This window comes from Homo sapiens, chromosome 15, assembly GCF_000001405.40.
Source record: "Homo sapiens chromosome 15, GRCh38.p14 Primary Assembly".
NCBI classification, from domain to species: Eukaryota; Metazoa; Chordata; class Mammalia; order Primates; family Hominidae; genus Homo; species Homo sapiens.
The window spans coordinates 86,317,583-86,343,369 of record NC_000015.10 but is presented as its reverse complement, the minus strand read 5'-3'; the positions used below and the strand labels follow the sequence as shown (position 1 = coordinate 86,343,369).

Sequence of the window (25,787 nt, the reverse complement as noted above, 5' to 3'; positions counted from 1 at the left end):
AAACGACAATGGGATGCAGGGGACCCCACCAAAAGCTGGACTCTTAAGGGGAGGGATTCATAGCCAAGGAGGAAGCTGGGAGAATAAAAACCATGCTGTCACTCTTCCTCCCTTTATCTAATCTTTTGTATTATCTTCCATTGGCCAAACCCAATCAAAGCCATTCCAGCAAAGATGCAGGTCATAAAGATTAGCCTCTCAATTCATAAAATCACTCTCCAGGGCTAGAGAATAGATATGGGATACTGGGGAGGTGGGTAACATGAAAATGTCCAGCACATCAAGAAAAATGTAAAAACCCACCTTTATCCTTGACCCCCAAGACTATGTCTAAGTTAGTGAAGATCATTCATCTGTATATGCCAATCTGAATGGTGTGCAGCAATACAACTACATTTAACTTATACAACCCATTGCCAGTTTGATGTGAGCTTTCTCCTTTGAATTTACAAAATGCTGCTCTCATAGGAAAATCTAAAAATGTTCTAATTACTTTGAACATATTCTTCCTTCTCTACTATACTATAAGCTCCTTTAAGGCAGAAAAACATATTTTCTTAATAATCAACATAAATCTAGTACCTACTTACATCAGGTATTCTATATGTTTGTTATTTCATTTAATCATCATAACAAACATACAGAGGAGGAAATCAAAGCTCCGAGAAGCTTCATTTCACAGCGACACAGTTAGTATGGGGCAGATCGGAGATCTAAAGTCAGGTCTTTCTGACCCTGAAGTCCAAGGTATTCATCATCCTGTCCCTCTGTTTCTTTTAATTTTTGAAATCTGTACAATGCTTAGTAAGGTACCTAATAAACAGCAGGCATCCACATGAGAGTTTGTTGGATGGATGAATGGGTGAATAATATAATCTAATAAAAAAAATATTTAATCTTTATTACTATCCTCTAAGCCAGATTCTCTTTACCTCCTTCATTAATTCATTTCACCATCAGTTATTAGGCCAGCATTTTCTTCATCATCCCAAAAGATAAGAAAGAAGTAGGAAATATAGCCTTGGGTCTCACACAGTGTACAATATTTCTGAGAAAAGCTAGTCCAACATATACAAGTCAAGGAACATAATTGAGTTCATGACCAAATTATATAGGGAAGACCAGAATTTGGCTATCTCCCAAATGTTCATCCTGTAAAAAGCTTAGACAGTGCTCATGAACACATTGAGTACTGGGCAGGCAGAGAAGTAGCAGTAAAAAAAGGATGTTAGATAACAAGCGGAGAAACATACAGAGCAGAAAACAAAATTGAGAAAGCGTTCATCTTCAGAAAGTAGCCTTGATTAGCATGAGAAAACCCTGGGGGAGGAGAACACTAGCCCACTGCTTTTCACAAACCAGTATTTCAGAAAGTAATTACTTATTTTAACATCTGGGTTCACGAAATATTCATATAACCTGAATAATATCTTATTCACTCTGGAAGGACTAGCCTTTTTTGATAAATTTTACAGTAAATTCTAAAATGAAGGTGGTCTTAAAAAAAAGTGTTACTATTAATGTTCCTTCCTCCTTAAAGCAATGACTCAAGTGGCCTACTCACAAGTAACAAGGAAGGACAAAGGACATTTCTGACCAAAATCTCATCAAGGTTCGGGGCCCTCCTGAGTTTGGGCAACTCGATTGGTCTCTAGCTCATAGTTACATTTCTAATCTAACAGGATTGCCTAGATCTTTGTAGTGCCCGAGAATGATACACATGAGGAAAGGGCATGAAATGATAAGTTCTACAATCTGGCAAGAATGAAGACATGAGGAATCTTTAAAAGGCACCTGAGGACTGCCATTTCTGGGAATATATAGTAGATGTACCCTTCCTGAGTCCTCCCACTAAGTACAGCTAAAATCCCTGGTCATTACATAGAACACAAATATAAAAAGTATCTGAAAAGTGAAGAGAAGAAGGTGGACCAGCTCAGAAACTCAGGACCCAAGAATGACCTCAGGGTAGGTTGGTTGTTCTTGTTTTGCCTCCTACATCCTAAACTTGGAGCTGAACAAGTCAGCAACCCAGAAATGCCAATTGTCACAAACAAAAAGACCCCCATAAAAGCCTGCTCTGTCTAGTCAGGAAAAGGGCAGCCTAGCAAGTCAGAAAATTTTTACATAATAACATTCCAGCCAAACACCACACAAAAAACCCAGGGAGACTAGACTTCCACTCTGGACAGGTCCCAATGAAGCACCCTAAGTGGGCCACTTCCCAGCACACAGGTGTGTCAGAAAAGGCCAGGTAGGGAACCTGCAGTGTCAGGGGGAGACCTGGACTTTGCATGTGAGAAGCCTGGACTCCCACGTCCTACCCCAGCAGTAATGAGAAGCCTAGCCCTGCTCCCCACTGGGGTGGTATCAGAGGAGCCCTAGTGAGAGTAGGGACTTTCACCACCTACCAGTAATAATGAGGTGTCAGAAGACACCACGTGAGGAGTAGTGGTCTGCACCTTGCCCTCCCAGTCAGAGTGGTACCAATGCAGGCTTAGTGTGCAGCCAGAATCCTCACCCCCAACCAGAAGCAAGGTAGAGGCCACCTCCTTTGGGGATCATCAGAGGATTAGTGGAAAACCTGGATACGCAATTCTGGCAGTAACCGTGGCATCCCCACCCTTCCTCTACCAGATAGGTATAGAGGAAGCCACTTTGTTTCCTAGGACTACCATAACAAATTACCACCAATTAGTTGGCTTACCTCAACATTAAGTTATTCAGTCACACTTCTGGAGGCCAGAAATCAAAATCAACGTGCTTTCAGGGCCACACCCATTCTGAAGTTGCTAGAGGAAATTTTTCCTCACCTCTTCCAGCTTCTGGAGCCTCCAGATGATCTTTGGCTTGTGACAGCATAGCCCTAATCTTGGGCTCTGCATTCACATGTCCTTCCCTGTGTCTTTTTGTATCCTCTCCTCCATGTTCAAGGACACAAGTCATGGATTTAAGGCCCACACTAAACCTAGGATGACTTCATCTCAAGACCCTTAATTAATTTCATCTGCAAAGCCCCTATTTTCAAATAAGATCATATTCTGAGCTTCTGAATAGACATGAATGGGGGGGGGGCAGTGGAGGCAATATTCAACTCACTACACTAGCTAAAACAGAAGGCTTAAATAAGATCCAAAGTCTCATAATATCATAGCTCAAAATATACAGGTTTCCGTCAAAAAATCACTCATCACACAAAAATAAAAATAAAAAACAGGAAAATTGTCCTGAAAGAGAGCAATCAATAGAAGCTAACACTGAGAAGACAGAGATGTCAGAATTAGCTGACAAAGATTTTAAGCAGTTATCATAAAAATGCTTCAGAAGAAATGAAAATTAAAAAGGTCCTTGGCAAACAAGTAGAATATATAAGGAAGGATGAAATAAAAACTTTTTTTTTTTTTTGAGATGGAGTCCCGCCCTGTCGCCAGGCTGGAGGGCAGTGGCACAATCCCGGCTCACTGCAACCTCTGCCTCCCAGGTTCAAGTGATTCTCCTGCCTCAGCCTCCCGAGTAGCTGGGATTAAGGCATGCGCCACTACGCCCAGCTAATTTTTGTACTTTTAATAGAGACGGGGTTTCATCATGTTGGCCAGGATGGTCTTGATCTCTTGACCTTGTGATCCGCCCACCTCGGCCTCCCAAAGTGCTGGGATTACAGGCATGAGCCACTGCGCCCGGCCGAAATAAAAACTTTAGAACTGAAAAATACAATTACTATAATAAAAAATAATTAACAAATAGGCTAAACAGCAGAATGGAGGGAAAGAAGAATCTGTTACCTTGATGATAGAGCAATAAAAATTACCTAATCTGAACAACAGAAAAAAATTCACTGAAATAAAAGAAGAAATCTCAATGACCTGTGAGACAAAATAGAAGATCGAACATTCATATAATTGGAGTCCCCAAATTAGAGGAGAAAGATGGTGGAGCCAAAAAGGGAACTAAAAGAAATAATGGTTTAAAACTTGCCAAATTTCGCGATAAACAACCTACAGATTCAAGAAGCTGGGCAAACACCAAATAGGATAAGCTCAAAGAAAACTAGAGCAGGACATATTATAATTACATTTTGAAAAATAAAGAAAAAAGTTCTTGAAGACAACAAGAAATGGATAACACCTTACCTATCGGGGAAAAAACTGAATGGTAGTGTATCTCTCATCAAAAACCAGAGGCCAAATGAAGTGGCACAATATTCTTCAAGTGCTGAAAGAAAAGGACTTTCATCCCAGAATTCCGTATCTAGTGAAAATTTCCTTCAAGGATGAAGGATCATAAAGCAATGTATTATCTACCATATTAACAAACTAAAGAAAAATCACACAATCATATTAACGCATAAAAAGCACTGACAAAATTCAACACCCACTTATGATAAAAATTCTCAGAAAAATAGGAACACTTGTAACCCTCTAGTAGAGGGTTACATCCTCAACTTGATAATAATCATCCACAACAAACCTACAGTTAACATGACATATAATGGTGAAAGACTGAGTGCTGTCCTCCTAGCATTGAGAGCAGAGCAAGGAGATCCACTCTCACGACTCTTTTTCAATGGTCCAGGAAGCTCTAGCTTTACGTGGATGACTGAGAACAGTCTCTACACCGGTTTTCCTGGTTCCAGTTTGGGCAGCCCATTCAAACCATTTATCCTGGGAGTCATCCTTGATGACTTTCTTTCTTGCACGTCCTTTGTCCAATCCAATAGCAAAATCTGTTGTTCTGCCTTCAAAATGGGTCCAAAATACAGCCACCCCCCTACCTTTGTGGTTCTGTTCAAAGTTACCACTATGCTTTCCTGGATCAGAGCAAAGGATTCTTCGGGGGTCACTTTATCCCTTCACAGTGCCCTCATAACAGCCAGAGTAATTCCTTTAATAAATAAAACATAACGTATCACTCTTCTACCTCAAGCCACCAATGGTGCCAAATCACTCAAAGAAAAAGCCAGCATCCCTACAACTGCTACCAGTGTCTGCAGAAACTGCCCTCGTCACCTCTCAGAACTTACCTCTGCCTCTCCACCTTGTTCTCCCCATTCAGCCACCTGACCTCCCTGATTAGGACCCACCAAGCACATTCCTGTCTCGGGGATTTAAAACATGTTGTTTTCAAATGCACTTTTGCAATTGCTATTTTCTTTGCCAAGAAGAGTTCTCCAAGTCTCTCTCCTCCAACTGTTACCTTTCACAGAGACTTCCTGACCTTTTCTCATAATTCAGAGCCCATGTCCCCATGTCCCCTTATCCTCCATTTTGCTATTCTTTCTTCCATTTCCTTTAGAACCATTTCAATTAATCAGTTTATGTGTCCCTTCACTAGATTGCAAACTCAAAGGGCAAGACCTTATCTTTTTTGCTTCCTACTCACCGCATCTCTCCTGACTAGAAGTGTCTGGCATATACCAGACACTTGATAAATATTTGGTAAATGAATGAATTAAAATAATACCCTACATGCATCTTTCTTTTTTATTTTTAAGTGCATTTTTTGTTTGTTTTAAGTTCCAGGGTACATGTGCAAGATGTGCAGGTTTGTTACACAGGTAAACATGTGCCATGGTGATTTGCTGCACTTATCAACCTATCACCTAGGTATTAAACCCAGCATGCATCAGCTTTTTCCCTAATGCTCTCCCCACCCTCCACCCTCCCTCGACAGGCCCCAGTAAGTGTTTTTCCCCTCCCTGTGTCCATGTGCTCTCATTGTTCAGCTCCCACTTATAAGTCGGAACATGTGGTGTTTGGTTTTCTGTTCCTGTGTTAGTTTGCTGAGGATAATGGCTTCCAGCTTCATCCATGTCCCTGCAAAGGATATGATCTCATTCCTTTTTAATAGCTGCATAGTATTCCATGGTGTATATGTACCACATTTTCTTTATCCAGTCTATCATTCATGGGCATTTGAGTTGATTCCATGCCTTTGCTATTGTGAATAGTGCGGCAATGGACATACACATTCTGCATGCATCTTTCTACCTCATTCCTTCCTTCCTTCTTTTCCTTCCTACTTTTTTTTTCTTTTCTAGAACTAATATAAAAAAGCCTACTGGTAATACAAGACAGTGCACTGAATTCTTGCACAACATGAGTGACTAGGTTTGTCTGTTTCCTGCGTAAATCTGTGTATGTAAACAAAATAACACATGAGAATCAAATAGCAACTCAGTTTACAAAAAGTGTACTAGTGTAATTCTGTGCACATTATTAGATAAACATAGGAAAGAAAGAGAGAGGCACTGGGAATACAAATGCTCCCAGGATTTCTAAATTGTTTTGTGTGTCCATCTAATGCTTCAACCTAGAGAGTGATGCTAATTCTTGTCCCCATTCCCGGACAGCCAGAGTCCTTAGGAGTGCTTCCTAACACTCTAGAAATACAGAGTCTTGTGGCCCCTTCACTCATTCAGACAATCTTCCTGTGCTAGAAGACTATCAATACATGAAGAAGTAGATGGCAAGGTAATTTTTACTTAGGTTGGGTATGCAAAGATCATGTGTCATCATAGGAGCTTGCCTCTAGCACCTTTCATTTGTCTCTTTCTTAAGGCAGCAGCCAGTCTGGAACTAACTATCAGAGCTATGAAAAGCCCCCATTAAGTCTCCTCTGTAAGGGATTTAGTGGGATAGGTTTGTGTCCATAAGCAAAAGCCCTGAAAATGGGCAGTGTCTTGCTTGCTATTCCCATCTTGGTATAAATTATGGATCAGAGCTGGAAAGTGTCCAGCCAATCCAGCAACTCTACACTGATGAAACACCCCTCACCCCTCCTCATGCTGATGCCAGCCCTCTGGATAATAAAGGCAATCAAATGCCAACTCTCACGCAACAGTTGTTATTCCAGACAAGTGCCTTGTTCCAGTCTGCCCAAGAAGTAGGGAAGATTATTCACTTAGCTCCAAATGCAATTTATTTTCTGAACTTGTTTGATTCTCTCATGCTTTATGCTTCATAATAAGTTTATATTCTGCTCTACTTGAATCAGCGAAACCTCAGGGGCGTCTCTTGCAAGTTACAGAGAGTGATGACTAGCAACTCAAAACTGAAGCATGTTCAAGACTTGCAGAAACAGAACCCAACCCCATGAGTAAAATGTAAGTCACAGCCTGGAGCAGATGTAGCAAGAATCTGTGGTTTGAGACATCGAATGGGCACCTCTGCTCCGTGCAAACCACTTCCTTGCTGGCCTCAAAGCCTCAGTTAGTCCTAAATGCCTAGGGCACTCTATCACAGGTGGAGGCTGAGTTTTGGCTGCTTCTTCGAATTCTGGATTTCTCCACCCTTTCTTTCTGCCAGACAGGAAGCTAACTTCATGCTTTCTCTCATCTTTGTGTCTAACACCTTCACAATACAGCACATTGGGCTCTTTCAGTGGAAAATAAAAATCACTGTGCGAGAGGGGCTGATTGCTGATGATTGAAGCTTATCGAAATAAAACCAGAACACATGCATGTTCTTATTCAGAGAAGGTAGGTAACCTAGCCAAATTCTCACAGGTAGTAAGTGACAAACCAGGAGTAGAGTGTCCTGAATTTAAGTGCTGTGATCTCCCCTATTTAACACTCTTGAAACTATTCCCTTCTTTCATTTCTTACAGTTTCCTTTTTCTCAACATTCTCCTCTCATAGTTTTCTCCAACTTTCTTATAACAACACCTTATTTTACTCTTGAGTTTTAGAAAACAATAATCAAGGACTGTGTCATTTTATGTATTTTATCTTTGGTTTCTTCCAAGAATTTCCCTCAATATTTGGTGTTCTGCAACTTCACTTTGGTGTGTTCAAGTGCACTTAATCCTATCCTCAACTTAAGGATTTATATCTTTTGTACTTCTGGAAAATTATTAGCCAATATATTTAAGACAGTGCCCTCTTCTTCCTACTCTCTATGCTCTTTCTGAAGCTTCTTCGAACTTCTCAATCTAGGCCAGGCATGGTGGGTCACACCTGTAATCCCAGCACTTTAGGAGGCCAAGGTGGGTGGATCACAAGGTCAAGAGATCGAGACCATCCTGGCCAACACAGTGAAACCCCATCTCTACTAAAAATACAAAAAATTAGCTGGGCGTGGTGGCACATGCCTGTAGTCCCAGCTACTCGGGAGGCTGAGGCAGGAGAATCGCTTGAAACTGGAAGGCGGAGGTTGCAGTGAGCCGAGATCACGCCACTACACTCCAGCCTGGGCAACAAGAGCGAAACTCCGTCTCAAAAAAAAAAAAAATAACTTAATCTACCTTCCATGTCTCTCAGTCTTTCTTCTGTGGTATCCATTTCTTTCTCTAGGTCATAAATTATAGGTTATGGCCCCAAATATGTCCTTCATTTTCTTAAGTTCTTCAACTGTGTCTAAACTGCTGCCTAATTTGTCTACCATGGTTTTAATTTCAATGGATATATCTTTCATTTCTAAAAAATGCCTTTATTTTTCTTAAATATGCCTGTTGATTTTCATAGTTTCTTATTCTGTCTTCATAATTTTTATTGCTTCTTTCATCGTCTTGGTCAATGGCATTATTTCTGAGCTTTCTGTTGTGTTCCATTGGTCTATGTGTCTGTTTTTGTAGTGTACCATGCTATTTTGGTTACTGTAGCCTTATAGTATAGTTAGAAGTTGGGTAATGTGATACCTCCAGGTTTGTTCTTTCTGCTTACGATTGCTTTGGCTATTCGGGCTGTTTTTTGGTTCCATATGAATTTTAGAATAGTTTTTTTTTCTAGTTATGTGAAAAGTGACATTAGTAGTTTGATAGGAATAGCATAGAAAATATAGATTGCTTTAGGCAGTATGGCCATTTTGAAATTGATTCTTCCAATCCATGACCATGGAATATTCATCCATTTGTTTCTGTCATCTATGTTTCTTTTAGCAGTACTTTGCATTTCTCTTGTAGGGATCTTTCACCTCCTTGGTTAGACGTATTCCTAGGTAGTATTTTGTGGCTAATTTAAATTGGATTGTGTTCTTGATTGGGTTCTCAGTTTGAATGTTATTGATGTATAGAAATGCTACTGATTTTTGTACATTGATTTTGTATCCTGAAACTTTACTGAAGTCCTTTATCAGTTCTAGGAGCCTTGTGGTGGAGTCTTTAGGGTTCTCTAGGTATAGAATCAAAAGTGAAGAGAGATAGTTTGACTTCTTTTTTTCCTATTTAGATGTCTTCTTTTTCTTGCCTGAATGCTCTGGCTGGGACTTCCAGTAGTATGTTGAATAGGAGTGGTGAGAGAGGGCATCCTGATCTTGTTCCAGTTCTCAGAAAGAATGCTTTAAGTTTTTGCATGTTTATTATGATGTTGGTTGTGAGTTTGTCATAGATGGCTCTTACTATTTTGAGATATGTTCCTTCAATGACTAATTTCTTTAGAGTTTCATTATGAAAGGATGTTAGATTTACTGAAAGCTTTTTCTGCATCTGTTTAGATGATCATATGGTTTTTGTTTTAAATTTTTATGCAGTGAATCACATTTATTGATTTGCATATGTTGAACCAACCTTGCTTCTCAGGAATGAAGCCTACTTGATCATGGAGAATTAACTTTTGGATGTGCTTCTGGGTTCAGCTTGCTAGCATTTTGTTGAGAATTTTTGTGTCTATGTTTATCAGAGGTATTGACCTGTAGTTTCCTTTTCTCATTGTGTCTTTGCCAGGTTTTGGTATCAAGGTGATGCTGGTTTCATAGAATAAGTTAGGAAGGAGTCCATCTTCTTTGATTTTTTTGGAATAGTTTCAGTAGAATTGAGACCAGCTCTTCTTTGTATGTCTAGTAGAATTCTGCTGTGAATCCATCTGGTTCAGGGATTTTTTTGGTTGATAAGTTTTTCATTACTGATTAATTTTTGGAACTTGTTATTAGTCTTTTCAGGGTTTCAATTTCTTCCTTATACAATCTTGGGAGATAGTGTGTTTCCAGGAATTTATCCAATTTTTTCTAGATTTTCTACTTTGTGGGCACAAAGATGTTTATAATCATCTCAGGATCTTTTGTATTTCTGAGGGATTACTTGTGATGTCACCTTTGTTAGTTCTGAGTGTGCTTATTTGGATCTTATCTCTTTTTCTTTCTTAACCTAGCTAGCAGTCTATCAATCTTGCTTATGCTTTCAAAAAACCAACTTTGGGCTTCATCAATTCTTTGTATGGATTTTGGAGTCTCAATTTTGTTCAGTTCTTTTCTGATTTATTTATTTTCTTCAGCTAGCTTTGGGATTAGATTGTTCTTGTTTTTCTAGTTCCTCTAGGTGTGACATTAGATCATTAATAGGGGATATTTCTAACTTTTTGAGGTAGGTATTTAGCACTATAAACTTTCTTCTTAATCCTGCTTTTGCTATATACCAAAGATTTTGGTATGTGGTATCGGTGTTCATTTATTTCAAAGAACATCTTGATTTCTGCCTTAATTTCATTGTTTACTCAAAACTCATTCAGGAGCAAGTTGTTCAATTTCCATGTAATTGTGTGGTTTTTGAGAGAGCAGAGGATTTTTATTCCACTGTGGTCTGAGAGTATGATTGGTATAATTTCTAGTGTTTTTAATTTATTGAGACTTGCTTTATGGCTGAGCATGTGGTCGATCTTGGAGTATACTCTGTGTGCAGATGAGAATAATGTATATTCTGCAGTTGATGGGTGGAGTATTCTGTAGACATCTATGAGGTCCAATTGGTAATGTGTCAAATTTGAGTCCAGAATTTCTTTTTTTTTTTTTTTTTTTGAGATGGAGTCTCACTCTGTCGCCCAGGCTGGAGTGCAGTGGCGCAATCTTGGCTCACTGCAAGCTCCACCTCCTGGGTTCACGCCATTCTCCTGCCTCAGTCTCCTGAGTAGCTGGGACTACAGGCGCCTGTTGCCACGCCCAGCTAATTTTTTGTATTTTTAGTAGAGACAGGGTTTCACCATGTTAGCCAGGATGGTCTCGATCTCCTGACCTCGTGATCCGCCCACCTCAGCCTCCCAAAGTGCTGGGATTACAGGCGTGAGCCACTGCGCCTGGCCCGGAGTTTGTTAGTTTTCTGCATCAATGATCTAACACTGTCAGTGGGGTGTCAAAGTTCCCTCACTATTATTGTGTAGACATCTAAGTCTTTTCATAGGTTCAGAAGTACTTATTTTATAAATCTAGATGTTCCAATGTTGAGTATTTAAGATAAGTCTTCTTGCTGAATTGAACCCTTTATCATCACATAATGCCCTTTTTTGTCCTTCTTTACTGTTGTTACATTGTTTTATTTAATAAAAGAATAGCAATCCCTGCTTTTTTTTCCCATTTGCATGACAGATTTTTCTCCAGTCCTTTACTTTGAGGCTATGGATGTCATTATGTGTGAGATGAGTCTCTTGAAAACAGCAGATGGATGGGTCTTGGTTTTTTATCCAACTTGCCACACTATGCCTTTTAAGTGGGGCACTTAGACAACTAATGATTACTATTCATCCACTGTGAAGTTGTTAGCCTGTTGCTTTGTAGTTTCTACTGTGTGATTGCTTTATAGGGTCTTTGGGCTATGTGCTTAAGTGTGTTTCTGTATAGCAGGTATAGTTATGTTGTTCCATGTTTAGAACTCACTTAAGGAGCTCTTGTAAGTCTGGTCTGGTGATAACAAATTCCCATAGCACTTGCTATTCTGAAAAACATTTTATTTTTCCTTTGCTTATGAAGTTTAGTTTGGCCAGATATAAAATTCTAGGTTGGCATTTCTTTAACAATGTTGTAAACAGGCCCCCGATCTCTGCTGGCTTGTAAAGTTTCTGCTGTGAAGTCTGCTGTTAGCTTGATAGGGTTCCCTATGTATGCAATCTGACCTTTTTCCCTAGCTGCCTTTAAGGTTTTTTCTTCAGTGTTGACCTTGGACAGTCTGGTGATTATACGCCTTGGTGATTTTCATCATTGTAGCATCTTGCAGGTCTTCTCTGGATTTCTTGTATCTGGAGGCTTACCTCTCTAAGTAAGATTAGGGAAATTTTCTTGAATTATTCCCTCAAGTATGTTTTCCAGGTTGTTGCTTTTTTCTTCTTCTCTCTCAGGAGAGAAGAAGAGAGAAGAGGAGAGAATTATTATCTATGCCAATAATTCATAGATTTGGTCACTTTACATAATTCCATATTTCTCAGACTTTGTTTTTTTTTTTTTTTTTTTGAGATGGAGTCTCACTCTGTCACCCAGGCTGGAGTACAATGGCACGATCTTGGCTCAGTGCAACCTCTGCCTCCTGGGTTCAAGTGATTCTCCTGCCTCAGCCTCCTGAGTAGCTGGGATTACAGGTGCACACCACCATGCCTGGCTAATTTTTGTATTTTTACTAGAGACAGGGTTTCACCATGTTGGTCAGCCTGGTCTCGAACTCCTGACATCATGATCCACCTGCCTTGGCCTCCCAAAGTGCCAGGATTACAGACATGAGCTACCGCATCTTCCCTGCTCATTTTTTTAAATTCTTTTTTCTTTATTTTTGTCTGACTGGGTTAGTTTGAAAGGCTAATCTTCAAGCTCTGAAATTCTTCCAATTCGTCCAGTTATTATAAAGCTTTCAATTGTATTTTGAAATATTTCAATTTTTTTTCCAATTCCAGAAACTCTGATTGATTTCTTTTAAAGATATTTATTTCATCCTTCATTTCCTGGATTGCTTTAGAAGTTTCTTTGATTTTCATCCTTGCCTTGGATTTCATTGAGCTTCTTTGCAATCCATATTTTGAATTCTTTATCTGTCATTCCTGAGTTTCCATTTTGGTTAGAGACCATTGCTGGAGAGCTAGCGAGATCCTTTGGTGGTATCACTACATTCAGATTTTTCATGGTGTCAGAATTATTGCACTGTTTCCTTCTCATCTGGGGATGCTGGCACTTCTAATTTGTGTAATTATTTTCACGTAAGTGGAATTTTTTCTTTATCTTTCCTTATAGTTTTTTTCTTTCCCTTTCCCCTCTTCCCTACGGAATGTGACCGTAGAAAATGCTAGGCAGAGTTTTTGGGTTTGCCAAAAATAGCCCTATTTCTTTGCCAAAAATAGCCCTATTATGCACATCTGTCGGCAGGTTTTATATTGGGCCATGCAGTTTCACCTAGAAGCCAGTAGACGTACCTTATGGGTTACAGCCAGCTGTGGCCAATGCAGCTGGGTATATACTTGATCCTTGTTTACTGGCAAAAGTTCTCTGTTGCCTCAGGAAATGGGCTGACTTGTGGAGTACACAGTGGTCTGAACTCCCTGCTCAGCTCCCAGGGAGGCAGCAGCCACAGTGGGCAGGGCCAGGCTGAGCCAGCTCACCTAAAGGTCTCTTGATGGTAGGCACAAGCATCAGTGCAGAGGGAGAATCCAACGAGCAGCCACCAAGCACCCAGATGTGTGCCTAAGTCTGAATCTGGAAAACCTCCTAGGCTCCAAGTCCTCTGCACAGTGATGTAGGGGGAAGCCTAAATTCCTAATCCAGGAGAGTGGATGCTCTGGATGCCTGGAGATCTGCCTGGGCATGGAGCAAAGAAGGCTCCTCTCCACTTGGATCTCTGCACAGGAAAAGTGGGGCAACTCAGGCTGCTAAACCAGGCAAACAGGTGCTCTGAATGCCTAGAGATCTGCCTGGGCATGAAGCATAGAGGGCCCGCATTTACCCAAATCTCTTCACAGAAAGAGTTTGGCAGCTCAGGCTGCCAATCTGTGTAATGAGGTGCTTTGGGTGCCTGGAGATCTGTCTTGGCTTGGAATGCAGAGGACCCCACTGCACCATGATCTATGTCCAGGAATAGTGAGGCGGCTCAGGCTGCTTGACCAGGGAGCAGGCACTCCAAATACCTGGAGATCTGCCTGGGCATGAAGTGGAGAGGGCTTTGCTACACTAGGATCTTTGCACAGGAAGGGTGAGGTGACTCAGGTGAGCGGGTGCTCCAAATACCTGGAGATTTGTCTACATGTGGAACAGAGAGGGCCCCTCTGCACCACAATCTATGCACAGGAAGGGTGAGACAGCTCAGGCTTCTGATCCTGGTGAGGAAGTGCTCCAAATACTTGGAGATCTACCTGGACATGGGGCAGAGAGGGCCCCACTGCACTATCATCTATGTCCATGAGGGTGGGGTGGCTCAGGCTGCTGGTCCAGGCAAGTGGGTGCCCTGAATGCCTGGATTTCTGCCTGGGAGTGAAGTGGAGAGGGATCTGCTGGACCACGAACTCAGGGGAACAGGCTGGGGTAGGCACCCAGCAATGATACATGCAGACTGGTTCCAGTCTGCCAAGATGGCCCTGGCTGCAAGTCTCGTCACCTAGGAGAAACCACAGCTGTAGCAGCTCTCCTTCCACCCCAGGCCTGCAATGGGGAAGAGCACAATTCTAGCACCTACTGCTGAAGCACTGTCTACAGTTCTGGCTATGGATGTCCCTAACCCCTCCAGAGCAGGTGCTCTAATCTCTGGCCCAAGACTAAAATGCTTGCACAGCTATGCAAATTGTCAAAGAATGACTGACTTTATATGAGCCCAAATTAAAAACGGTGTCCTGTCCTTGGTCCTGAATCTGGGAAAATGCCTGCAGCGTTTCCCAGTGTCTTTCCCTCATAGTGTCTTCAAGCCTCATTCCAAGTTAGCTCTAGGGCTTGGGAGAAACAAAATGCTCTCTCTCAGCCTCAGTTGCTTGGATCACTAGTGGAAAGGTGAGTCACAGAGGGAGGCTGTCTGTCTCTCTCATGTACTGGGGCTTCACTCAAATTTTATGAGATAGACACTGTCACAGGGGCTGTTTACCCACATTCTCCTCCTCGGGATTTGGGGTGTCCTTCATGATTCTGGTGGATTCCTGTTTTTCCTCTTGAGTTAAGGCTCACAGAGTTTATCTTTGTGCACTATCATTCTATTTCCAAGTGGCTGAGGCATGCTACAAGCCTCTAATCTGCCATCTTGGAAAAAAAATTAAAAACCGTTTTCTTTATAAATTGTATTTTTTTTAAGTTTTATTTGAAATAAAAAGTTGCAAAAATAGTTCAAGGGATGTCTTAGTAATTTCATCTAAAATCTTTCAAATACTTTTTACCATACTTTCTGTATCGTTCTCTCTCCATTTCTCTCACTTGTTCACTTTGTCTCAATTTATTTATAATTGTTAAGTTAGGTTATTTTGATCCTGTAGTTTTTGCTCTTGTTGTGGGAGAAGAATCACAATAAGCATTAACTTGATCTCTCATGTTTAGGAGCTGGAAGTTTTATAGTTGGGGGAAGCAGGTAGGAAATGAGAAAAACAAATATCCATAGGAACAGGAACTAAGCTCTCTGCTTTAAGTATTTGTTGACTCATCTTGTTTTCAGAATAACAGAAAATTATGTATTATGAGCTTCATTTTTAAGAAAGAGGAAAACAGAGGCTTAAAAACAAAGCTTGCTCATATAGGTATGGGGTCCACATAACTATGAAGCCAGGATCCTAAACCATATTCTTCTTCTTTCCTTTAAAACACACTGCCTGGAGCAACTCAGGAGGACGTACCCCGACACACCCCATCTGGCAATTGCTGAGCCTCCTCATATCATTAGAGTGGGATGTAAATAAATTAGAATAGCTGTGCTTTTTCCATCAGCAAGTAATTAGGCAAGTCACACCTGCCTAAGGTTCATTTGTAAATACATTCTGATTCCTTTCTGAGTTTTATACCTGTCTCTTTGGGCAATTAACAAACTCAGCTGAATTTCCTATGACTCACCTCAAAATGCCATATGCTCACAATGGTTCGTGTATAGAAAAAGCAGCTGACACCTCAATGAAAACATAAACAAACACTGCATATACAAACACTTCTGCTGGGCACATATGCCTAAGATTTATTGTCTCTTAGGTGGCTTTCATCGCTTCTTAAAATAAATAAGCTGAACTAAACTAATTTCTGGAAACATTTACATTCAGACCAAAATTTCTACATCCAAAGAATACATTTTACTGTCAGAGAATGAGTCAGAGATGTTGTAACCTTCAGCATCCTAAGTAAAGGACAACATATCTAGCTAACATGTGTCAAGAACAAAATCATTACCTAGTGTTTGGAATGCCACCAATTTATCAGATAAGAACTTAGCTGGGGCTCTAACTCCATAAAACAAAGAATTTATGACCCTAAGCCTCTTTTATTCCCCAATTTTGCCACTCCCTTGTCATGCACACCCTCCACATTGGGTCAGTCCGCACATTGACTATCTCTGTTCCATCAGACCTATTGATCACTGCTGGGGAAAAGTACCCATCCACATAGGTTGAAGCCACAGAAATCCACAGTCTTCCTTACCACTGATCCTTTACCTCTGTCCCTCTTTGCTCTATCACTGGTCAGTTTTTCCTTCCATTCCCTTTAATGACTGTTCCTCCTTTACTATTTTCCTCAAATCCTTCTCCTACTCTATTTCCCATCAGCAGATGACCTCATAATGCTCTGTGCAAAATTAAAAAAAAAAAAAAGAAAAAGAAAAAAACTCGAGGATATGGGGGATAACATCATTCTACCTCCTGCTCATGGTTAGAAGTTCATGACTAATCTATTCTGACCCCCTTCTAGCTTCTTTCAGATACTTCATCAGTTGTTACCAGTCTTGGCTGCACTTCTGATCTTTTCTATCTCAAGAATGGCTTCTGCTCCAGACAGATATTTAAGAAGGTTGCTCAAATGCTGTTGTCTGTAAACAAAACAAACAAGTAAAAAATTAACAACAACAAGCAACATATACCTCCCTCAATCCTGAATACTCTAATTATTGCTCAAATGGTCTCTTTCCCTTAACAATCAAGTATCCTTAAAAAGAAAAGAAAAGAAAAGAAAAGCTATACACATTTTCTTGTTTCCCACCAGCCAAACTTCTCTAGCCAAAGGAATGAATCACTTCTTTTTCTGCATCCTCACCTTGGTTGGCCTTGTTATAATATTTGATAATTTTATTTACATTGTATAATAAACTGAAAATCATTCTCTATACCCTTCTCCTATGTATACTTATATTTAGAAGTATATAATAAGTAAAAAAAGAATGTAATGGAACTGTTTTTCCCCCACACCAGATGGCTAAGAGAGAGACACTCATGGCTAGTGTAGACTGATAAGTCTGCATTTCTTGTTTCATAAGGAGGCAGGAAAATATCTTCTAGACTGAAAGGGTATACATTATGTCTATGAGACTGAACTGTGCTGTCCTGAACAAAATGAAAAAAAAAAGCTCACTGTAATAAAGTGTGCTGGCTTCCTAACAGTGAAAAAATCAACTACTTGTTGATGGAGAGAATGAATGAGAATTGGAGCATCGATCTGCCTTCACAAATGGGACCAGAGCTGCACTCTTCTCATTTGAACCTTTAAAAAAGTTATTTATTGTCTATTAAAGACTTACATGATCATATCTGGAAGATACAGGAGGGGATAAGGGAACAGAACTTCCTGCTCATGTAGGAAGGCTTGGAATTTTCTGAAGAAGAGAGCAGCTACTGGATATGAGGGCTTGAGTGTAGGAGGTCTGAGAGAAAATTGAAAAAATTAAGAAGTTATCATGTGCCCCTTCCCACCACCCCCAACGTGCACAGACTGTACCACTCTGAGATCTATGTGACCCGTTGGAAAAATAGCAACCTATATTTCCAGTATAGTCCAATGCCTTGTCTGGTGAAAACAAACCAGGAGTTACTAAGAACTGGAGAAAGGGAGATTAACTGTTCGATGCTCACCTTGCTAGGGGGATGGAAGATGGCTGTGCCGGCAGATATTGATTGGGCTGTGGAGCTGGCCCACTCGGTGATATAACAATGCCAGGCTGGCAGCAGAGGCGAAGACTCCCCATGTGTGAAACCTGATTCCCTATCGTGTATTTTAGCAAGTTACAGAAAAGGAGAGGCCCTGCCAAACCTGCATTCATCTCTAATTCAAGTCCTGATTGCTCCATAAGCTCCAAATAGAACTGCATTCCCCAACTCCAGGCTGTTCTCTTTTCTCATGCTCTTAAAACCTCAAAAGTTACCCATTTAAGAAACTTTCCTTCCCACTACAACTAGTTCCTCCTGCTTAATTTAGAGATTTGGAAAATGACAGCATCATCTACTCATCCCCCGTGGATGTTATCTGCCATTCTTCCTCTATTCTTGCCCAAATATTTTTCATACATTTCTTCCTAGAATTCCCAATTATACTCATTATTTTTTGTCCACACTATTACAAAAATCACTCCGTGTTTTCCTTGCCTCTCTCTCTAGTCTTCTAGGCCTCCATCCTATCCTGCCTACTGATGGAAGAGACACATTTCTAAAACCCAAAACCCTTTAAACATTCTCCACTGACTATAGGATGAAACAAAACTCCTCCTTAGCCTGGTCTATAATGCACTCCAAGATCTGTCCCCTGTCTACCTCTCCAATGTCACTTACTTTGACTGTCTCCCTTGTCCAGTCACCCTCACCTCCTTTCCGATCCTGAAACACACCAAACTCATTCCTGCTACATGGTCTCCTCACATGCTAGTGAGCTAGGGAGACATTGGCTCACTTCCTCTAACCCTCTTCCCCAAACTCGGCCCCACTTCACTCACCTTCTCAAATGGCAAACTCTTGTGGTTGGGGTATTGGCTTAAATGTCTTTTCAAAGAGGCCATCCTGTTCTAAATGATTTACCACTACGACTCTACCTTATTCTTTATTACTACCACCCACTTTTTTTGTTATGGCTACTATCACATTATGTGAATACTCACTTAATTGTTAACTGGACAGTTTATCGACTGTCTCCCATTAGTGTGAAAGTGTCAAAAAACCAGAAACTCTCTCTATAAATATTTTAGTCCCTGGTACCTAGTAGATGCCAATACAAATTGGTTGAATGAATGCCATATAAACTAATGAATGAATGCCGTATAAACTAATGAATGAATGCAGGCTATGAGATGTTCACAGCTGCCTCACATCAGTGGACCTTCACTCACTATGATTCCTAAGCCTAGAGAAGGCCCTTTGTCTACTCCACCATAATGGGAAACACCTACCCCTACAGCTTCCATCCCTTAGTGCTGGCATCATTTGCTCTTTTAAGTCTTATCTGACTTCCTCCATTCATTCCCGGGTAGAGTTTTAAGCTCCCTTCTTTATACTTCATCTCTAATTTGCTTCTATCATAGTGCTTACAACACTTACACATTCTATTTGTTTGTATATTTCCTCCTAAGAAAATCATTAATTCTTTAAGGATGAGGACTATCTTAGTCATCACTCTACCCCTAGTATCTAGCCCAGTGCCTGACACTAAATTAAAGTAATTTTTAAATTAGCAAATAAATGGCTGAATGAGACATGCTTATGACTCTATTTTTTCTTATAGCACATGAAGCATTTCACTGCAGAAATTATTGACAGTCTTCTCTGTGCACATCACCATCCATTAACTGGGGTTCTGGGATATACAGCAGCTCAACATACAGGTTAATACTTGGTAAATTACATCCTTTCCAAAAAGCAAGTCATGCCAGACTGCACAGAGAAAAGGAAAGACACCATGAAGAGAGGTCAGTAGTGGTAAGTCCATTAAGTTTGCAAAATACTGTGCAAAACTGAGCACCAATGGTCCATGACCTTAGTAGGGTAAAAGGATAGTTTCAGAAGTCACACTGACAGTGTTGAGTATACAGATGGTCAAGCAAGGTAGAGTCAGAGGAATTATTCTTTTTAGATTGTCTATACCTGAATATGAGGAGCATCACATTTAAACCCTAAGACCACTTAAACCACATTTAGCACCAAAGGGCAAGCAGGATTTTGCACTGGCAGTTATTTAACTTTCAATGCCCTTGTCTCTAGTCAAATTGCCCTTAACATAATCTGTCAATGAAATGATTATTTCTCCTGATAGTGGATGGACCATTTATATTTAGTTATTTAACATGACAATGCACAATACTGAGGCTTACACAGCCACCTTAGAATGAAGTTAGTTGATTTTTTTTTTTCAAAATATGACTCTCCCTGACATGTTTTGCCTCAATTGGTAATGTTATTTGGTTATTTACATAATTATGGAAAAGCCAAGTACTTTATTTGTCATATATTATTTTCCTGATCCCCACAGCCACCCTAAGAATAAGATATGAAAAATATTCATTAAATAGACTCTTCCACTTCTAGCAACATGGTGGATGAGGTGCCCTCATTCAACCTTCCCACAGAACCAACTGAAATGTTCAATAAAATACAAAAAAAAAAAATCACTATGCTGGCCTAAGAAAGAAAATGTGCTATGCTCCAAAGTAAAGTAAAACCAAAAATTTGGGGAATAAGTGACTATTGAAGTCATCTTTGAACCTGAGAGTTTCCTGCCAACCCCTAGAGATTTTGAGTTTTGGTTTGACAACTCCACAGATCCCAGGAAATAGGAGAAACAGCCCAAAGCTTGTCCACAGTGGAAAATTTAATAGACCACTGCAAAAAGCTGGTACTCAAAAAAGCCACAAACGTAATACAAAAGTGAACCAGAAACAAAACACTTTTGCAAAGGGAGTGGCAAGAAAAATTACTGCACTTGGCTCCAGTGCTACTCTGGGAAAGTATCCATGTATATCCCCAAGCTGGTTTTCAGTACAAATGCACACTACTAATGTAGTTTGATAGTCATGAAGTAAATAATTTAACTTCATCTGGACTTGTGTTGAGCATGCTGCTGGGTGACTAGCAGAAGAAATTCTCTCAGGAATATAACTTAACCCATTATAAAGTGTTCCCCCAGATGCAGTTCCAAATAAATAGTCACCTTACAATCAATATTCATAAAGCATACTAGTAATGCGATATTACAAATAAAAACTAGCTGAAAAAACCGACATTAAAAATAAACCTCCAAAGACATAATCTAATTGGAAATAGATTTACCAGGTCCCCTCAAATTTCATGTATTGGTCCCCTCAAAATTTAAAGCATAAATATTAATATCAAAGTGCCCTTTAAGGCATTTAAGGTAAAGAAAATCACTACATAATGATCAATGTTACAATTAATTAGAAAAATACAGTATAATAATTCTAAATTTATACGCACCTAACATCATAGTCTCAAAATAGGTAAAGAAAAACTGTTAACAAGAAAAAAATATCAAATCTCTTGTTGTAGTGGAAGATTTAACACAATTCTCTCAAACAGACAGATTAAGCAGTCAAAAAAAGAAGTTAATAAAGATATATAAGATTCAAATAGCACAGACAAACATGTTTCACCTAAATCGGCTATACAGAACAATGCACCCAATAGCTGGAAAGTACACATTCCTTTCATGCACACGAGATAGTTACAAAAATTAGCTATACACTAAGCCATAAAGATAGCCTTAACAATTATCAAAGGATGGGTAACAGGCAGATAACATTCTCTGCTTACAATAAAATTAATTTACAATCAACATTAAATAGATAACCAGAACATACTTGAAAAACTTCACATATTTGAAAATTTTAAAGAAAGTATTGAATAATTCATGGGTTAAAAAAAGTAACAATAAAAAAAATTAGTACTGACAGAAAATGAAAATATCACATAGAAAAGCCAGTGGTATAGAGATAAAGTGGCATTTAAAGGAAAATAAATTCTATTTTTTTTTTTTGAGACAGAGTCTCACTTCATTGCCCAGGCTGGAGTGCAGTGGTGCACTTTTAGCTAACTGCAGGCTTCACCTCCTAAGTTCAAGCAATTCTCCTGACTCAGCCTCCCAAGTATCTGGGATTACAGGCATCCGCCACCATGCTCAACTAATTTTTTTTTTTTTGTATTTTTAATATAGACGGGTTTTTGCCATGTCGGTCAGCCTGGTCTCGAACCCCTGACCTCTGGTGATCCACCTGCCTCAGCCTCCCAAAGTGCTGGGATTACAGGCATAAGCCACTGCACCCGGCCTCTCTGAAATTTTTATATCAGAAAAGAATAAGGTATGAATAAACAACATTAAGAAAGAAAATAAGGACATAATTACACAAGCGGAAGAACTTGAACAGCTTACAGTCAAGGTTAAAAGTCAGATTAAATAGAAACATTACAGAAAAAATAAGGACAACTTGTCAAACTTGTTTCAAAAATAAATAAGAAAACCAGAAAATATTATTTAATCAATCATGAATTTTAATTAACAGGTTAAAAAGTTCTCACAAGAAAGCACCAGAACTATAGAGGCAAATTCTCCCAAACATACAAGGAAGAGCTCATTCTAATGTTATTAATGTTACACACACTCTTCAGAGAATTTAAAAATAAAAGAGTATTATGTCACTTAATTTTAAGGGATAAGCACAACCTTGATACCAAAAGGAGACAAAGACACAAAAGAAAGAAAATTACAAGCCTCTCACCACCTTGAATATATATGCAAATCCTAAACAAAGTAAAAGCAAATTTAATCAAGCAATGTATAAAAAAGATAATATATGATGACAAATGGATTTATTCCAGAACTGCATGCACAGTTTAACACTATAAAATCAATTCATGTGATTATCTCAATAGCAGATTAAAGGAGAAAAACTATCTGATAATTATAATAGATGTGGGAAGAAGCATGTAATAAAATTCAACATCCATTCATGTTAAAAATCTTATAGCAAGTGGGGAATAGAAAGACACATCCTTAACCTCATAAATGAATACACACACACACACACACACACGCACACACACACCTTCAGTAAATGTCATACTTAATAGTAAGACGTTAAGAGCATTTCTTTGAAGATCAGAAACAATACAAAAATACTCACTATCACCGCATATAATAAGCATTGTTCTGAATCATAAAAAAGAGAAAATAAAGAATATAACAGAAGCAAAGGGGAAAAAAAAACTTGTCAGTTTCAAATGATATATCGGCATAAAAAATTCTAAAGTTTTGCAAAAATTATTTAAATTTTAAAAGTATATCATTTTAAAATACAAAACAAATATAGAAAAATCCATCACATTTTTCTATACCAGTAGGAATCATTTTTAAAAGAAATTATTAAAGAATATATTATTTGTAATAGCCACAAGTATATAAATTATCCAATAAAAATATGATGTGAAAGCAAGCTCTTTATACAAAAAAAAAATAAAATTTTATGAAACCAATTGTAGAATCTTACTTAATGGTGAAATAACATGTTCTCAAAACCTTGGAGAGGAGCATTAGATATCATAGGAATGTCCTTTTTTCCCGATAGGAATATCATTTCAATAAAATCTCAATGAAAAATCTCAATAGACATTTTATATTTTTGTTTTAAAAGTAGACAAGCTGATACCAAAATTTATTTAGAAGTGAAAGAGGCCAAGAATAGTTAAAATACTACCAAAGAGGCCGGGTGCAGTGGCTCATGCCTGCAATCCCAGCACTTTGGGAGGCCAAGGCAGGCGGATCACCTGAGGTCAGGAGTTTGAGACCAGCCTGACCAATGTGGTGAAACCCTGTCTCTACTAAAAACACAAAAATTAGCCAGATGTGGTGGCGGGTGCCTGTAATCCCAGCTACTCGGGAGGCTGAGGCAGGAGAATCACTTGAACCCAGGAGGCGAAGGTGGCAGTGAACCAAGATCGTGCCATTGCATTCAGCCTGGGTGACAAAGAGTCCATCTCAAAAAAAAAAAAAAAAAAAAAAAAAAAAAAAAAAAACTACCAAAGAGGCAAAACAAAGTACAAGACTACAAGACTTCCCCACGAGGTATCAGAATTTATTTAAAGTGACATAAAGCTAGTAACATATGAGTGCAGAGATGGGCAAATAAAACACAAATCAGAACTAAAATAACAGAAACAGACCCACGTCTATAAAAACATGATTTACGTCAGAATTGGTATTACACCTCAGTGGCCAGAAGGATTCCATATATAATGTGAGAGAAAGACAAACCAATAGCAAAATGTGGGGGGAGGGAGGAGAGGATGAACAGAAACATCACAAAAGAGGAAATCCAAAGGGCTAAAGAAATATTTGAGAAAATGTTCAACCTTATTTATTATCAAAAAAATGCCAATTAAAACTACAATGAGATACCATCACATACTCATTGGACTGGCAAAAATCAGAAAGTTAGCCAGGATGTAGAGCAACTCTCATTCACAACTGGCAGGAAGTTAACTCTGTGTAATGACTTCAGAAACCAGTGCAGTATTCCCTAGTAAAGTTAAACATCTGCCTGCTCCTAGATACTATGATTCCCTTCTAAGTATATACTCGGTTAGGAGAGACTTTGAACCACATCATAGCAGCATCCCTTGTAACAGCAAATATTCAGGAACAACTCGGATGTTATCAAAAGTAGATTGGATAAGTAAATGTCAGTCTGTTCATATAATGGAATATTATATAGCAATGAAGAAAAACTATAGTGGTAAAGTTAAATTGTTTCTTTGTTGTTTGTTTTAATGTCCTTGCTGGTAGCAAGACTGTACGGGGAAAACTGATCATTTAATCAACATATATAAAATTCACCCAGACTCACAAGAAAAATAAACTATGGCCAACTCAGCTACAATGTACATCACAGACCATATAATAATAACACTTCATTCAGATCCATATATCCTAACAGAAAACCACAAACAGACCTTTACATGGATTCATGCATTCTAAAGATAAACCCATTGACAATTCCAGCAACTCTCTGGCTTACAAATCCTGACCAATCCCTGCCAAAAAAAAAAAAAAAAAAAAAAAAATCTATGATCAACTCTACCCTTCAAATCTTATAAATACCCTCCCATAACTCCCCTTTGAAAGGCTCAGTGATTCTCTATTCTCTATTGCTGCAGCCAGTTAATAACTCTAACATTGTTTGACTACACATCTGGCTCTAGTGGTCTTTGGACCCAGGCTTTATTAATAGCTACACACGTCTGTGTGGATGAATGGGAAAAAAAAAAACATTGAGTAAAAGATATATGTCAAAGGATAGTACTACATTATGGCTCAAATAATTTAAAACATCAGAGGCAAAATTAAGTTTTTTTTATGAAATATTTATATGATTAAATCAAAAAACAGACAGAAAAGAAAATAACAAAATATTCTGAAGAGAAGAGAAGGATAATGAGACCTGGGAGAGACACACTAGTGGCAATGTTCTACTTTATGTTAACATGGATAGTGGGCAAATAGGTATTTATTTTATGTTTATGTTCTACATAAATTGTTTTGTATATGTAATATGACTCATGATTTTAAAAAATTACATCCCCACAAGAGAAAGCTGGGGCTGACTTTGGGTAAATGGTTTGCCCAAGCTGTCCAGCTAATTAGGACATAAAACTTTTGATGACAGACATTCATGCACTGCTGTATTCCCAATGCCCAGAATATTTCATGAAGCAGATTCACAATCAAGTTTGTTGAATAAATGAAGAAGCTTGGACTCAGTACCCACCTATTCTTTTTACTCATGACACTATAATACTTGGTCCAGAAGTCTCAGGAGTGCATCTGGTGTCCATACAACTATCAAGGACCTTTCCATTTAAATATGAAACTTATATTCTATAGTCTTCCACTTCAAGAATTTCATGGGCCACATCTGGCCCATTCCTATTTTATAAATAAATCTTTATTGGAACACAACTATACCCATTTGTTTATTTATTGTCTATGTCTGCTTTTGTGTGACAAAGTCAGAGCTCAGTAGTTGAAAAAGAGATCTTCTGGCACAAAAAGTCTAAAATATTTACTATCTGGCCCTTTACAGAAAAAGTTTGTCAATCCCTGCTCTATTTCATCATTAATATCGACTCAATCCTCCTCCCAAAGCTAGTCTGTGACTTGCTTCACAGCCCTGGCAAA

General features: G+C 39.0%; 1 protein-coding gene across 7 annotated transcripts in view; it reads right to left on the bottom strand.

Annotated features, from left to right (window-relative positions):
* Positions 1 to 25,787, bottom strand: part of AGBL1 (AGBL carboxypeptidase 1) — a 951,857-nt gene that overhangs the window by 688,107 nt on the left and 237,963 nt on the right. The gene's annotated exons all lie outside the window — the stretch shown is intronic.